Source organism: Homo sapiens, chromosome 6, assembly GCF_000001405.40.
Source record: "Homo sapiens chromosome 6, GRCh38.p14 Primary Assembly".
NCBI classification, from domain to species: domain Eukaryota; kingdom Metazoa; phylum Chordata; class Mammalia; order Primates; family Hominidae; genus Homo; species Homo sapiens.
In genome coordinates, this window is record NC_000006.12 from 31,969,774 (window position 1) to 31,982,053 (window position 12,280).

At 53.3% G+C, this 12,280-nt stretch overlaps 2 protein-coding genes across 14 annotated transcripts, besides 1 other annotated feature; one reads left to right on the forward strand and one right to left on the reverse strand.

The window, feature by feature from the left end:
* DXO (decapping exoribonuclease) lies at positions 42 to 2,365 on the reverse strand. Of its 11 annotated transcripts, none has more exons than NR_199379.1 (7): positions 2,156 to 2,365; positions 1,547 to 1,808; positions 1,139 to 1,374; positions 833 to 979; positions 570 to 705; positions 336 to 430; positions 42 to 251 (listed from the first exon to the last, which is right to left on the reverse strand). NR_199379.1 is itself a non-coding variant. In NM_001371206.1 (7 exons), exons 3-7 carry the CDS (start codon positions 1,176 to 1,178, stop codon positions 104 to 106), a joined length of 639 nt encoding a protein of 212 aa, NP_001358135.1. In that variant the 5' UTR covers positions 1,179 to 1,374; positions 1,547 to 1,808; positions 2,156 to 2,365; the 3' UTR covers positions 42 to 103. The 11 variants fall into 11 exon arrangements, 7 of the variants coding, with proteins under 7 accessions (NP_001358135.1, NP_005501.2, NP_001425408.1 ...); NR_199378.1 differs by having other exon boundaries at positions 1,547 to 1,908; NR_199381.1 differs by having other exon boundaries at positions 336 to 494; positions 833 to 1,052; positions 1,547 to 1,908.
* WHR1 (winged helix repair factor 1) lies at positions 1,402 to 11,673 on the forward strand. 3 transcript variants are annotated; one of them, NR_026717.1, is made up of 8 exons: positions 1,402 to 1,501; positions 2,096 to 2,738; positions 2,848 to 2,984; positions 9,130 to 9,225; positions 9,641 to 9,780; positions 10,678 to 10,775; positions 10,881 to 11,028; positions 11,231 to 11,673. NR_026717.1 is itself a non-coding variant. In NM_032454.1 (8 exons), exons 1-8 carry the CDS (start codon positions 2,224 to 2,226, stop codon positions 11,274 to 11,276), a joined length of 1,107 nt encoding a protein of 368 aa, NP_115830.1. In that variant the 5' UTR covers positions 2,096 to 2,223; the 3' UTR covers positions 11,277 to 11,673. The 3 variants fall into 3 exon arrangements, 2 of the variants coding, with proteins under 2 accessions (NP_115830.1, NP_004188.2); NM_032454.1 differs by lacking the exon at positions 1,402 to 1,501 and having other exon boundaries at positions 2,096 to 2,443; positions 2,529 to 2,738; positions 9,130 to 9,237; NM_004197.2 differs by lacking the exon at positions 1,402 to 1,501 and having other exon boundaries at positions 2,590 to 2,738.
* Positions 2,152 to 2,862: an enhancer, noted in NCBI's record as "H3K27ac-H3K4me1 hESC enhancer chr6:31939702-31940412 (GRCh37/hg19 assembly coordinates)". NCBI's record gives its function as "activates a minimal SCP1, AML or CMV promoter by ChIP-STARR-seq in primed H9 embryonic stem cells {active_cell/tissue: H9 hESC(primed)}" and the evidence as "EXISTENCE:reporter gene assay evidence [ECO:0000049][PMID:30033119]".

The window sequence follows — 12,280 nt, forward strand, 5'->3', positions numbered from 1 at the left end:
CTGGACAGGGATGACTCAGCTAAGAAGACAGCGAGAGAACCTCTTAGAAATATGCTTTTATTATCTGCACACAGAGATATGACTGCCTCCCTCTAAAGCATTACTATTTGGGAGAGGGAGTCTTGGGGGGTGATGGGAGGTCCTGAGTCATAGCTTCCACATACCATATGGGCAGGAAGGCGTAAGGTGCATCTTGGTGTACAGACACGGTGACTGGGCCGCCAGGCTCCCAAGAGAAGAGATGAACGAGCCTGGGGGGCAGATGGAGGCATCAGTTGAGGGCCAGAGGCTGGATCCTGGGATCCAGAGGGGAGGGACAGAGCTGAATGCCTCACCTGGGGTCATCCTGGACAACCGTGCTCTGGGCAAAGCTAAGGAAGGCGGCACAGAAGTTCATGCACACAGAGGGATTCCAGCCGTCACGGTCATTCTGGAGCAGGCAGAGGAGGAGGCAGAAGATGGGCAGTGGGGGTGGTGGGAGGAGAGAAGGCAGGCTGTTGCCCTGGATGCTAGACCTGTGGTCTTGGTGTTTGGGGATACGGGTGGGAGCTGCAACATCGTTCCCTTACCCTGACATATTCAAACATCTTCATGGTAGGAAAGGTCTTGAGGGAAGAGACAAAACCGTCTGGGTTACGGAAGCCAGCAACAACATTCGGGACCCCTGGGAGGAATGACTGAGCCCACCATTTCAGGAGCTTGTGTCTGACAGGAAAAGCAAGGGATCAGTGGGACCCCTCGTGCACCCTCCATTCTGCCTTCACCCTCCTCCCCAAGTCCCTTTCCCAGCCTTCAAGCCTAAGCTCTCGCCCTGCCCACCCCGATCCTGAACCTGTAGAAACTCCTCCATTGGCCAGGGCTGTGCATCTCCTTGGAGGTCTTGAGCTCCACATAGCAGGTTGGGGGCTGTGTGGATGGGGCTTGGGGGTCTGTGCAGTCTACCTCCCCTGAGAAGAGCAGAGGGTGGCTTCCCAGGCGGCTGCGTAGCACAGAGCAGAAGGCCACGTTGGTGTTAACCTCCCCAGAGGGGTCTGGGGAGCTTCCAGGTTTGTCTGCACAAGGAGAGAAGCAGCAGCAGGCGTGGGGGGCTCTCAACCTCTGGGAAGGGGAAGGGGGCTATGAAGCAGGGGCAACTCACCTGCACACATGTACTGCTCAAATTTGTATCCCATGTACATAAGCTCCCGGAGGAGCGGTGGCCGAGCAAGCCTCTGGGCCCGAGCGTTCGGTGTCTCCACTTCACTCAGGTATAGTGTTCCCTGGAACCGGGAGGCTGCCAGCTGCCAGCCCTCCTGCCGCTCATACGGTGTCGTCAGCAGTTTTGTCAGGTGCCCCCGCCACGTCACTATGGCCTCTGCCAGCCAGCCTGGACCCCTGAGAGGCAGGAGTTACAGGCTGAAGGTCTGACACAAGCATTAGTGAGATGCTCCCCTCGAAGAATAGTCTTGTTTCTTCTAAGGACTGATTCTCACCCCGGCTTTGGCTCTCCTAATTTTAGAGGGTAGGTACGGGTCTCCAGATATACTGCCTACCACGCTTTGCTCACCCCTCCAACCGGCCTCGGTGTTCCAGGAGCCAGCACAGCAGGTGGTCCAGCCTTTCCTGGACCTCCTCGTCCCGGGGCTGGTATCGATCCGGGTATCCGTCTCTGAGGTCAAAGTTGGGGCCTGGACCGTTAGTGGGGGGTGGGCTATAGTAGCGCAGGGCTCGGGCATCTCCATGGTACTGGCGTTGAGCATCCAGGGAGAAGCAGCCCAGTTCCGAAGGGCGCCGGTAGAAAGGAAAGGGCCCAGAGTAGAGGGCAGGGTCTGTGGGCAGAGAAGGTGCTGGACGAGGTAGTTTGTTCCGAGGCTCAGCTACCTCTGTCTTCTCAGCTCCTCTCTTGGTCCCCCTGGGATCCATGAGGTCCTAAGACAAGCAGGGGTACAGAGTTTCCATTCTACAGAGGAGGCCTGGAGAAGGATGACTGGTTTAGGACTAAGCGAGCCACCTGATCGCCAGGCTCTGGCCTTGAAACATTCAGGCCCCTCAGACGCCACCGCGGCCAAGCTCTCATCCTGCCTCTTTCCTTGCCCTTCACCCACCCTCCCTCCAGGTCCTCCAAATGCAGTGAGGTTAGGAAGGACGTCTGCGCTCAGATCAAGAATCCAGTTACCTCAAAGCTCCCCAACTTCCACCTCCGCAGAGCTATGACGTCATGGCAGGCACGCCAGAGGCCGAAGGATGCAAAAGTGGTTTTCTGCTTTCGATGATGCAATCATTCAGCGACAGTGGCGGGCAAACCCCTCCCGGGGCGGGGGAGGTGTGAGCTTCACGAAGGAGGTTGACACCAACGTGGCCACCGGCGCCCCTCCACGCCGCCAACGAGTCCCCGGGCGTGCGTGCCCTTGGAGGGAGCCAATCCGCGGCCGGCGTGGGGCCCGGCCTGGCGGAGGTGATGCTGGTATGTGCGTCGCCACCGCCCCTCCCAGCACTGACGGGCCTGAGGGACGACAAGTTGACGCTCCTTTCGTCATCACCTGGTCTAGGAGGGACGCCCGGGGAGACCGTACGTCACTGCTCTGCGCCGGAAGACCCTATTTTCAGGTTCTCTTCCCTCCATTCCTACCCCTTCCCCGGTACCATAAAATCCCGGGATATGAGCTGGAAGAGGCATCACCTGATCCCGGAGACCTTTGGAGTTAAGAGGCGGCGGAAGCGAGGGCCTGTGGAGTCGGATCCTCTTCGGGGTGAGCCAGGTAACCATGGCAACCCCGGGGGTGGGGCCTCGCTTCCGGTAGCCGAGAGTTTTGTTAGAACCGCGTCCCCGCCCCAGTTCCCTGTCCGTGAGCCGATTTATCTGCCCAGGGTCGGCGCGCGCGGCTGTCTCAGAACTCATGCAGCTGTTCCCGCGAGGCCTGTTTGAGGACGCGCTGCCGCCCATCGTGCTGAGGAGCCAGGTGTACAGCCTTGTGCCTGACAGGACCGTGGCCGACCGGCAGCTGGTGAGGGGCGTCGGTGCGACCGCCGGAAGCCCCTTTCCTAACTCCTGGAATTCCCTGTCACTCAGTCACTCCGCCAGCCGTTCAGCAAGCATTAGGCCTTTCAGGCGAGGGCACTGTGCCAGGCACTGGGGTGCCACAGAGACCCTGTTAAAAGTCCCGCAGGTAGTACAGGGCATTTCAAATCATGGAGGTAGAAGAACGAGGCTTTTGGGGAAACCGAGTCATGGGGCATGGTTCGAACATACAGCGCTGGGAGTGCAGTCAGACGTCAGATCATGACAGGCCTTGTACATCAGTGTTGTTTCCATCTTACACTGAGGCGATGGGCTGGTAGAGAATATCATAGAGAGAGGGAATGGTGTATTGGAGATAGTGGATGAGGCAGGGAGGTCAGCTAAGAAGATACTGCATCTGAGAAGTGGTGAAGGCCTAAATTAGGTCAGTGCAGTAGGGAGGGAGAGGAGAGTGAGGAAGAGGGAGGAGTCCAGGACAACTCAGACTTTCCAGATGACTGCGTGGCTGGTGGTATTAGGAGCACATTTAGTTGTTGGACTACAGATAATGTGTTTAATTTTATACAAGTTGAGTTGATGGTGCATGTGGAGCATCCAAAGACAAAGGTATTAGACAGTTGGATATGAGAGTTGGAGAGAATTCTGGGCCAGTGATAATAGAATTACAAGTCATGGAGGTGTGAATAGCAAGTGGTTAATTCTGTGATGTGGTGAGATCCAGTAGGAAGAGTGGGTAGAGGAGTGATTTCTAACCTTTTTGTAATCTTTAGAAGGTGATAAAAGCTATGGCTATCTCTCTCCAGAAAAATGCACGTTTGCCACATATACATAGGGTGTATGTATAGTTAGGGGGGAAATATTTTACTAATCCTGCGAGGTCCGTGGTTAAGGACTCCAGGTTTAGAGTGGAAGTTAATAGGGTCAAATCCACAATGCTGGGAAACACCATCATTTAAGGCAGTGTTACTGAATATATGAGCTGAGTTATTATGCCTGTGTCAAAATTACGTGGGCTGCTTGTTAAAAAAAATACAGGTTCCTGGGACTCATCCAAGGTTAATGAATTACGCTCTCTTGGGGCGGGATTTGGGACTCTACATTTTTGAACTGCCTCAAGTGCTTTTTAAGTGTGCCTTAAAATTTGAGATCCACTGACATAAAGGGAAAGCAGAAGAAGAGGAATCTGTGACAGAGGCAGAGAGGGACTTGCCTGAGTTAAGAGGAACCCAGAGGCCGGCGCGGTGGCTCACACCTGTAATCCCAGCACTTTGGGAGGCCGAGGTGGGTGGATCTCTTGAGCTCATGAGTTTGATACCAGCATGGGCAACATGACATAACCCCATCTCTACAAAAAATACAAAAATTAGCCAGGCGTGGTGGTACGCGCCTATAGAGCTACTGGGGAGGCTGAGGTGGGAGGATTGCTTGAGCTGGGGAGGCGGAGGTTGCAGTGAGCTGAGATAGCACCGCTGCACCCCACCCTGGGTGATAGAGCTAGACTTTGTCTCAAAAAAAAAAAAAAAAAAAGTAACCCAGGAAGAGGCCTACTGTGAAAGTAAAGAGATTTTTGAGAAAGTGAAGTAGTTGGCAGTATTAGAACCTGTGATTCAAGACAGTGGTCTAAGAAGAGGGAAGAGGTAAAGTAAAATATAAACTGAAATCTAGGCTGAGTGTGGTGGCTCATGCCTGTACTCCCACCACTTTGGGAGACTGAGGCAGGAGTATAGCTTGAAACCAAAAGTTTGAGACCAGCCTGGGCAACAAAGTGAGACCCCATCTTTACTAAATAACTGAGATCCCATCTCTACTAAATAAATAAATTAAAACACAAAAATTCTTAGCTGGGCATGGTGGTGTGCACCTATTGTTCTAGCTGTTTGGGAAGTTGAGGCAGAAGGAGTGCTTGAGCCCAGGAATTTGAGGCTGCAGTGAGCTATGATTGCACGACTGCACTCCAGGCTGGGTAACAGAGGGAGACCCTGTCTCTAAAAAAATGAAAACAACAACAAAAAAACCCAGAACTGAAATCTGTCCATTGGATTTAGCAGGTAGAAGGTTAATAGTGATCTTTCAAGAAAAGAGGAAAGAAAAGGAAGGCAGTCTAGCACTCACTTGAGGTGAGCTAGTCTCCCTGACTAGGTCTCCCGTGAGGAAGCATGCCAGATGGAACCACTCCTTAAGGAGTATTTGTTGATTTTAATGTATTGGTGTTAGCTTTTGTTTTTAAAAACCTTTAAAAGTTGCAGAATGAAAATATAAACATATATAATTTAAATGATGTTTATAAAGCAGATACCTATCTAGCCACTCCCTAGGTCAAACTATAGAATATGACCAGTATCCCACATATATCCCTCTCTGATCAAAATGTCTCTGATCAGAATGTCCCTGGGAGGTGACTGCTGTGGTCATTGTTGCCTTAGTTTTCCCTTTTTTTTTTTTTTTTTTGAGGTGGAGTGTCGCTCTGTTGCCCAGGCTGGAGTGCAGTGGTGTGATCTCAACTCACTGCAACCTCTGCCTCCTGGGTTCAAGCAATTCTCCTGCCTCACTGTCCTGATTAGCTGAGACTACAGGCACGCGCCACCATGCCCAGCTAATTTTGGTATTTTTAGTAGAGATGGGGGTTTCATCATGTTGGCCATAATGGTCTTGATCTCCTGACCTCGTGATCTGCCCTCCTCGGCCTCCCAAAGTGCTGGGATTACAGGCATGATCCACCGCACCCGGCCTAATTTTGTATTTTTATAGGGATGGGGTTTCACCCTGTTGGCCAGGCTGGTCTCAAACTCCTGACTCAGATGATCTGCCTGCCTCGGCCTCCCAAAGTGCTGTTTTTTTTTTTTTTAATTGTCTTTTTGATAATTCCACTATTTTTTTTTTTTTTTGAAAAGTCTCCCATGTCTACCTCTTTCCACACAGACACGGCAACCATCCGATTTCTCAATCTTTTCCCCACCTTTTCCCGCTTTCTAGTCCACAAAACCACCATTGTCATCGTGGCCCGTTCTCAATGAGCTGTTGGGCACACCTCCCAGATGGGGTGGTGGCCGGGCAGAGGGGCTCCTCACTTCCCAGCAGGGGCGGCCGGGCAGAGGCGCCCCTCACCTCCCGGACAGGGCGGCTGGCCGGGCGGGGGGCTGACCCCCCCACCTCCCTCCCGGACGGGGCGGCTGGCCGGGCAGAGGGGCTCCTCACTTCCCAGTAGGGGCGGCCGGGCAGAGGCGCCCCTCACCTCCCGGACGAGGCGGCTGGCCGGGCGGGGGGGGCTGACCCCACCACCTCCCTCCCAGACGGGGCGGCTGGCCGGGTGGGGGGCTGACCCCCCACCTCCCTCCCGGACGGGGCGGCTGGCTGCGTGGGGGGCTGACCCCCCCACCTCCCTCCCGGACAGGGCGGCTGGCCGGGCAGAGGGGCTCCTCACTTCCCAGTAGGGGTGGCTGGGCAGGGGCGCCCCTCACCTCCCGGACGGGGTGGCTGGCCGGGCAGGGGGCTGACCCCCCCACCTCCCTCCTGGAGGGGGCGGCTGCCGGGCGGAGATGCTCCTCACTTCTCAGACGGGGCGGCTGCCGGGCGGAGGGTCTCCTCCCTTCTCAGACGGGGAGGCTGGGCAGAGACCCTCCTCACCTCCCAGACGGGGTCGCGGCCGGGCAGAGGCGCTCCTCACATCCCAGACGGGGCGGCGGGGCAAAGGCGCTCCCCACATCTCAGACGATGAGCGGCCGGGCAGAGACGCTCCTCACTTCCTAGATGGGATGGCGGCCGGGCAGAGACACTCCTCACTTTCCAGACTGGGCAGCCAGGCAGAGGGGCTCCTCACATCCCAGACGATGGGCGGCCAGGCAGAGACGCCCCTCACTTCCCAGACGGGGTGGCGGCCGGGCAGAGGCTGCACTCTGGGCACTTTGGGAGGCCAAGGCAGGCGGCTGGGAGGTGGAGGTTGTAGCAAGCCGAGATCCCGCCACTGCACTCCAGCCTGGGCACCATTGAGCACTGAGTGAACCAGACACCGTCTGCAATCGCGGCACCTCCGGAGGCCGAGGCTGGCGGATCACTCGCGGTTAGGAGCTGGAGACCAGCCCGGCCAACACAGCGAAACCCCGTCTCCACTAACAAAATACGAAAACCAGTCAGGCGTGGCGGCGCGCGCCTGCAATCGCAGGCACTCGGCAGGCTGAGGCAGGAGAGTCAGGCAGGGAGGTTGCAGTGAGCTGAGATGGCAGCAGTACAGTCCAGCTTCGGCTCGGCATCAGAGGGAGACCGTGGAAAGGATAATTCCACTATTACTTGTCTTTTGGGGTTTGTTTTTATTCTCTCTTTGAGTTTTGTTTCCTTATGCGCCCAGTTACTTTTGAAAATGTTCTGGGCAGATTTGCCTAGATTAATAAATGCCCTCCATGTTCCAATTACTTTTTTTTTTTTGAGACAGTGTCTTACCCTGTCACCAAGCTGGAGTGCAGTGGTATGATCTTGGCTCACTGCAACCTCTGCCTCCTGAGTTCAAGTGATTCTCCTGCCTCAGCCTCCCAAGTAGCTGGCATTACAGGCACCTGACACCACGCCCAGCTAATTTTTTTTTTTTTTTTTTTTTTGAGACGGAGTCTCGCTCTGTCACCCAGGCTGGAGTTCAGTGGCATGATCTTGGCTTACTGCAAGCTCTGCCTCCTGGGTTCACCCATTCTCCCGCCTCAGCCTCCCGAGTAGCTGGGACTACAGGTGCCCGCCACTATGCCTGGCTAATTGTTTTTTTTTTTGTATTTTTAGTAGAGATGGGGTTTCACCGTGTTAGCCAGGATGGTCTTGATCTCCGGACCTCGTGATCCACCCGTCTCAGCCTGCCAAAGTGCTGGGATTACAGGCATGAGCCACCGCATCTGGCCTATTTTTGTATTTTTAATGGAGACCGGGTTTCATCATGTTGGCCAGGCTGGTCTTGAACTTGAACTTCTGACCTCAAGTGATCCACCCTTAGCGTCCCAAAGTGCTGGGATTACAGGCATGAGCCACCGTGCCCGGCCCCAGTTATTTTTATTTTTATTTTTTGAGTTAGAGTCTCACTCTGTCACCCAGGCTGGAGCGCAGTGGCATGATCTCGGCTCACAGCAACTTTCTGGGTTCAAGCAGTTCTCCTGTGTCAGCCTCCTGAGTAGCTGGGACTACAGGCACACATCACCACGCCCGGCTAATTTTTGTAGTTTTAGTAGAGACGGGGTTTTACCATATTGGTCAGGCTGATATTGAACTCCTGACCTCAGGTGATCCACCCACGTCAGCCTCCCAAAGTGCCGGGATTACAGGCTTGAGCCATCTCGCCCGGCCTACTTAGATGTTATATTAGTGGTAATTCCTGTTATCCTGTGAGCTCTTTAGTGTCTAAACAATTTTTTTTAAGAGATGGGGTCTCACTGTGTTGCCCAGTTGCAATCATATCTTACTGCAGCCTCAAACTCCTGGGTCAAGTGATCCTCTTGCCTTAGTCTCCCAAGTAGCTAGGACCATAGGTGTCTGCCCCCACGCCTGGCTGTTTTTACATTTTTTGTAGAGATGTGGCGGGTGGGGGGGTCTCACTGTGTTGCCCAGACTGGTCTCGAACTCCTGTCCTCAATTGATCCTGCTACCTCAGCCTCCCAAAATGCTGAATTACAGGCATGAGCCACTGTACCTGGTCTTAAACAATTTTAAAATAACATTTTTATCCAGGATTTTAGTTAATTTTCAACAGGTGGATTAGTTCTTGCTGTATTCTCGTAAACAGAAGTCCTGGTTTATTTTTATTTGTTTTAAACATTGAATCCCATACTCCTCCCCACCTTACCCTACCCAGAATTTAGACTGTTAATGTTTTGAAGCCACAGCCTGCATCTTAATCACTATTTTATCTTAGTGCCTGGTCTTAGAAATTATATTGACTCTTTGATAGACCATATATAAGGCAGGTGGATGAGAATGTGGGTAGCTAGTTGGAAAAGGCTGCTTGGTCATTTGCTTGATTATTTTCTCACACAGTTTTTCCTTTACTAAGAGAAAATGCCCCCATATTGGCAAACAAAATCTCCCTGCCTGAGAGCGCCCAGAGTATAGCAGAGCATCTTACCCTGATACGCCTCTTTTCACTCTCTTCTCTGTGGAGACAGAAGGAGCTTCAAGAGCAGGGGGAGATCAGAATCGTCCAGCTGGGCTTCGACTTGGATGCCCATGGAATTATCTTCACTGAGGACTACAGGACCAGAGTATGTGACTGTGTGCGTCAGGGGTGCTGGGGGGAGGGCACAGGTTGGGGGAGACAGGGAACTTGGGAAACAGAAATAAAAACAAAAGAAAGAATTTCCCTGCCCCCACATCCCATGGAGAGGGCACAGGGCCCTGGTAAATAGTAATATGAGGGAGAGAGACAGGAGGGAAAGAGGGAGGAGTGAGAGGGTAAAGAGGGGGGGAGAGGAGGGGGAGGAGGAGGAAGGAAGGAGGGGGAGGAGGAGGGGGGGAGGAAGAGGGGGAGGAGGATGAAGAGGAGGAGGAAGAAGAAGGGTATGAGAGGTGGAAGGATCTGAGCAAGAGGTAAGACAGGAAGAGAAATGCTGTCCTGGGGGTGGAGGTTGGTAGAGAGTGAGGGTGGGGATGGACCATGTCTCTCATCTCTGCTTGTAGGTCCTCAAGGCCTGTGATGGCCGACCGTATGCTGGGGCAGTGCAGAAATTTCTAGCTTCAGTACTTCCAGCCTGTGGGGACCTTAGTTTCCAGCAGGACCAAATGACACAGACCTTTGGCTTCAGGGACTCAGAAATCACGTGAGACTTGTGGAACCAACCAAAGTCAGGCATCTGGTGCTTCCCTGCCTCCCTCCAGTTCCATCCAGCCTGTCCTCCTGTTTTTTTGGTGAACCTGCCAGAAAAGCTGCCAAAAAGCTGACTCTTCTTGTTAATAAAATGACCCAAGTTTGTATTCCTCCCCACAAGAGAGGAGGCCTATCTTACCTGGGCCTTAGAAAGAGCCCTGAAATAGAATTCAGTTCTTGGTGGCTTATCAAAAGCACACAGGGGCCTGGCAGGAAGTGTAAAAGCTTGATGTTAATCATACTGGGACTAAGAGGATAGAGAATGGTAGGAGCTGGGATACCCCTAAACATTCACATTAAAACAAAAAAAACCCAAAGCTAAAAAACAACTGGGCAGGAGCTAAATAAAAATCTAATTTTGAGAGGCTGTATCTGGCTCAGGCCTCCTACTTTGTAACCCATGGAATATGTGAAAGCATTTGAAAAACTATAGCACTGATCTCACATGGGCAGACACACTCTCAGAGAGATGTGGTGGGAGCCATGGCGCAGTCTGCCTAGGCAGTGGCAGGAGCGCAGAAGACTCTGATTCCTCTCCTCGGTCCTAAGACCGAATGTGTGTCAGGACATGTGGTCAGGGAAGAGAAGCTATTTAACTGAACCAGTAATAGTAGCAGGAAAAGAAAAAGTGGAGGGAGGGCAGTCCAGGTAGGGGGCCTGGAACAAGCAACTGCACCAACAGAGGCAGTTGGTGCGAGCACAGAACCACCCCAGGCTGGGATTTTGTTATCCAGTCTCTCTTGCATGGTTGCCCGTGTTTCTGGAGACTTGTGTAAACATTAATGGATGAGGAGGAGAGATGGTTCTCAGAGCCCAGCCCTCATCTCTGCTGGCTTCCCACTGCCCTCAGGCATCTGGTGAATGCTGGAGTCCTCACCGTCCGAGATGCTGGGAGCTGGTGGCTAGCTGTGCCTGGAGCTGGGAGATTCATCAAGTACTTTGTTAAAGGTATCCCATCTGCAGCTCAAGCCTGCAGCCCCTCACCTTTTGGTGGCTCCTCAGGCCTCTAGGCCTTATTCACCTTTCCCCTTTCCTGTGCCACTTCTCCTCTAGGGCGCCAGGCTGTCCTTAGCATGGTCCGGAAGGCAAAGTACCGGGAACTGCTCCTATCAGAGCTCCTGGGCCGGCGGGCGCCTGTCGTGGTGCGGCTTGGCCTCACCTACCATGTGCACGACCTCATTGGGGCCCAGCTAGTGGACTGGTGAGTCTTTCCCTGGCCTCTGGCAGATTATGGAGCAATGACCCAAAGTGGGATTTCCTCCCAGCTCATGCTTAGTTTCCTAGTGAAGGCCAGTGGCTCTCATTCTTCTCTGGAACCCGGGAGCACCCCTTCCCAAGTTCTAAGTTCTCCTCACAGCTTGAGCCTAGGCGTCTGGCTCCAGCCTTGTCTTTCTCCTGCACAGCATCTCTACCACTTCAGGAACCCTCCTCCGCCTGCCAGAGACATGAAGATTCTGCTCATCATTGCTCAGCTCCTCAGAGTGGGCCGGGAGGGGACTAGAAGAGCTGCATGATGGTGGCTGAGACAGGGTCACCTTGGGAAGGCTTGGGAGCCAGGATGAGTGTCGGGCTCTCGTGTGTGCAAAAGGTCAGATGTGACTGCTGCTGTTTGCCTGGTTTCTGACCCAGTGGTGGGGTTTGAGCAATGCTTCTCTGCCCTTCCATGGAAAGTGGAACCAGAAATGGTGCCAAGGCTGTGGCTGTTCCCTTTCGTGTAAAATGGTGCTGTTATTACTCTGTCTTGAAATAGGAAGGTGGGATTTCTGGGGAGGCTGGTGAAGGAGGGCAGGGTTCTTTTCTCTACGTGTCATGTTAAAATTGCCAAATAAAGTACCTCTGCCTGTGATATTTTCTGGATGTCCTTTATTTACTGTGACGTGTGTTTGGGTGCCTTGTTTAGGGGTAGAGGTGAAGTCTGAGCTTTGCCTCATTCAGAGAGGAAAGGGGTCAGGGGTTCACTCTGACGTTCAGGCCATTCTCCCTGTGGAGTGGTGAGGGTGTACCTAATCTCCTAAACCACGGAATTTCTGTTAGGGCCTAAAAAAGCAAAAGCCTAGTATAGTTCAATTTGTGTTGGAATGAAAGTAAGAGACAAGTGTCTTAGAAGCCTGTCATTGTTTTGTGAGGGCCTTTAAATATCCTGTACTCGTGGGCCATGTTGGGCCCTTGTACGCCCAGGTATACATGAGCTTGTGTGCACCTATACCCTGATACAGATATACCTGGTAGGGGGAGGTGCTCAGGCACTGGAATGAGAGGAGTTAACGGGGAAGGACAGGGTTATTTCTGGGCCAAGATTCAGAGTTTCCCATGGACACCCAGGTGTCCGGGGTGCCCCCACAACTCTGGGCCTGAGGCCAGTTGCACTTCTTGGCTGTCACGTGGTTTCCCAGCTTAGCTGGGCTGGGGGAGGAGCAAGGTCCAGAGTCAACTCTGCCCCGAGGCCTAGCTTG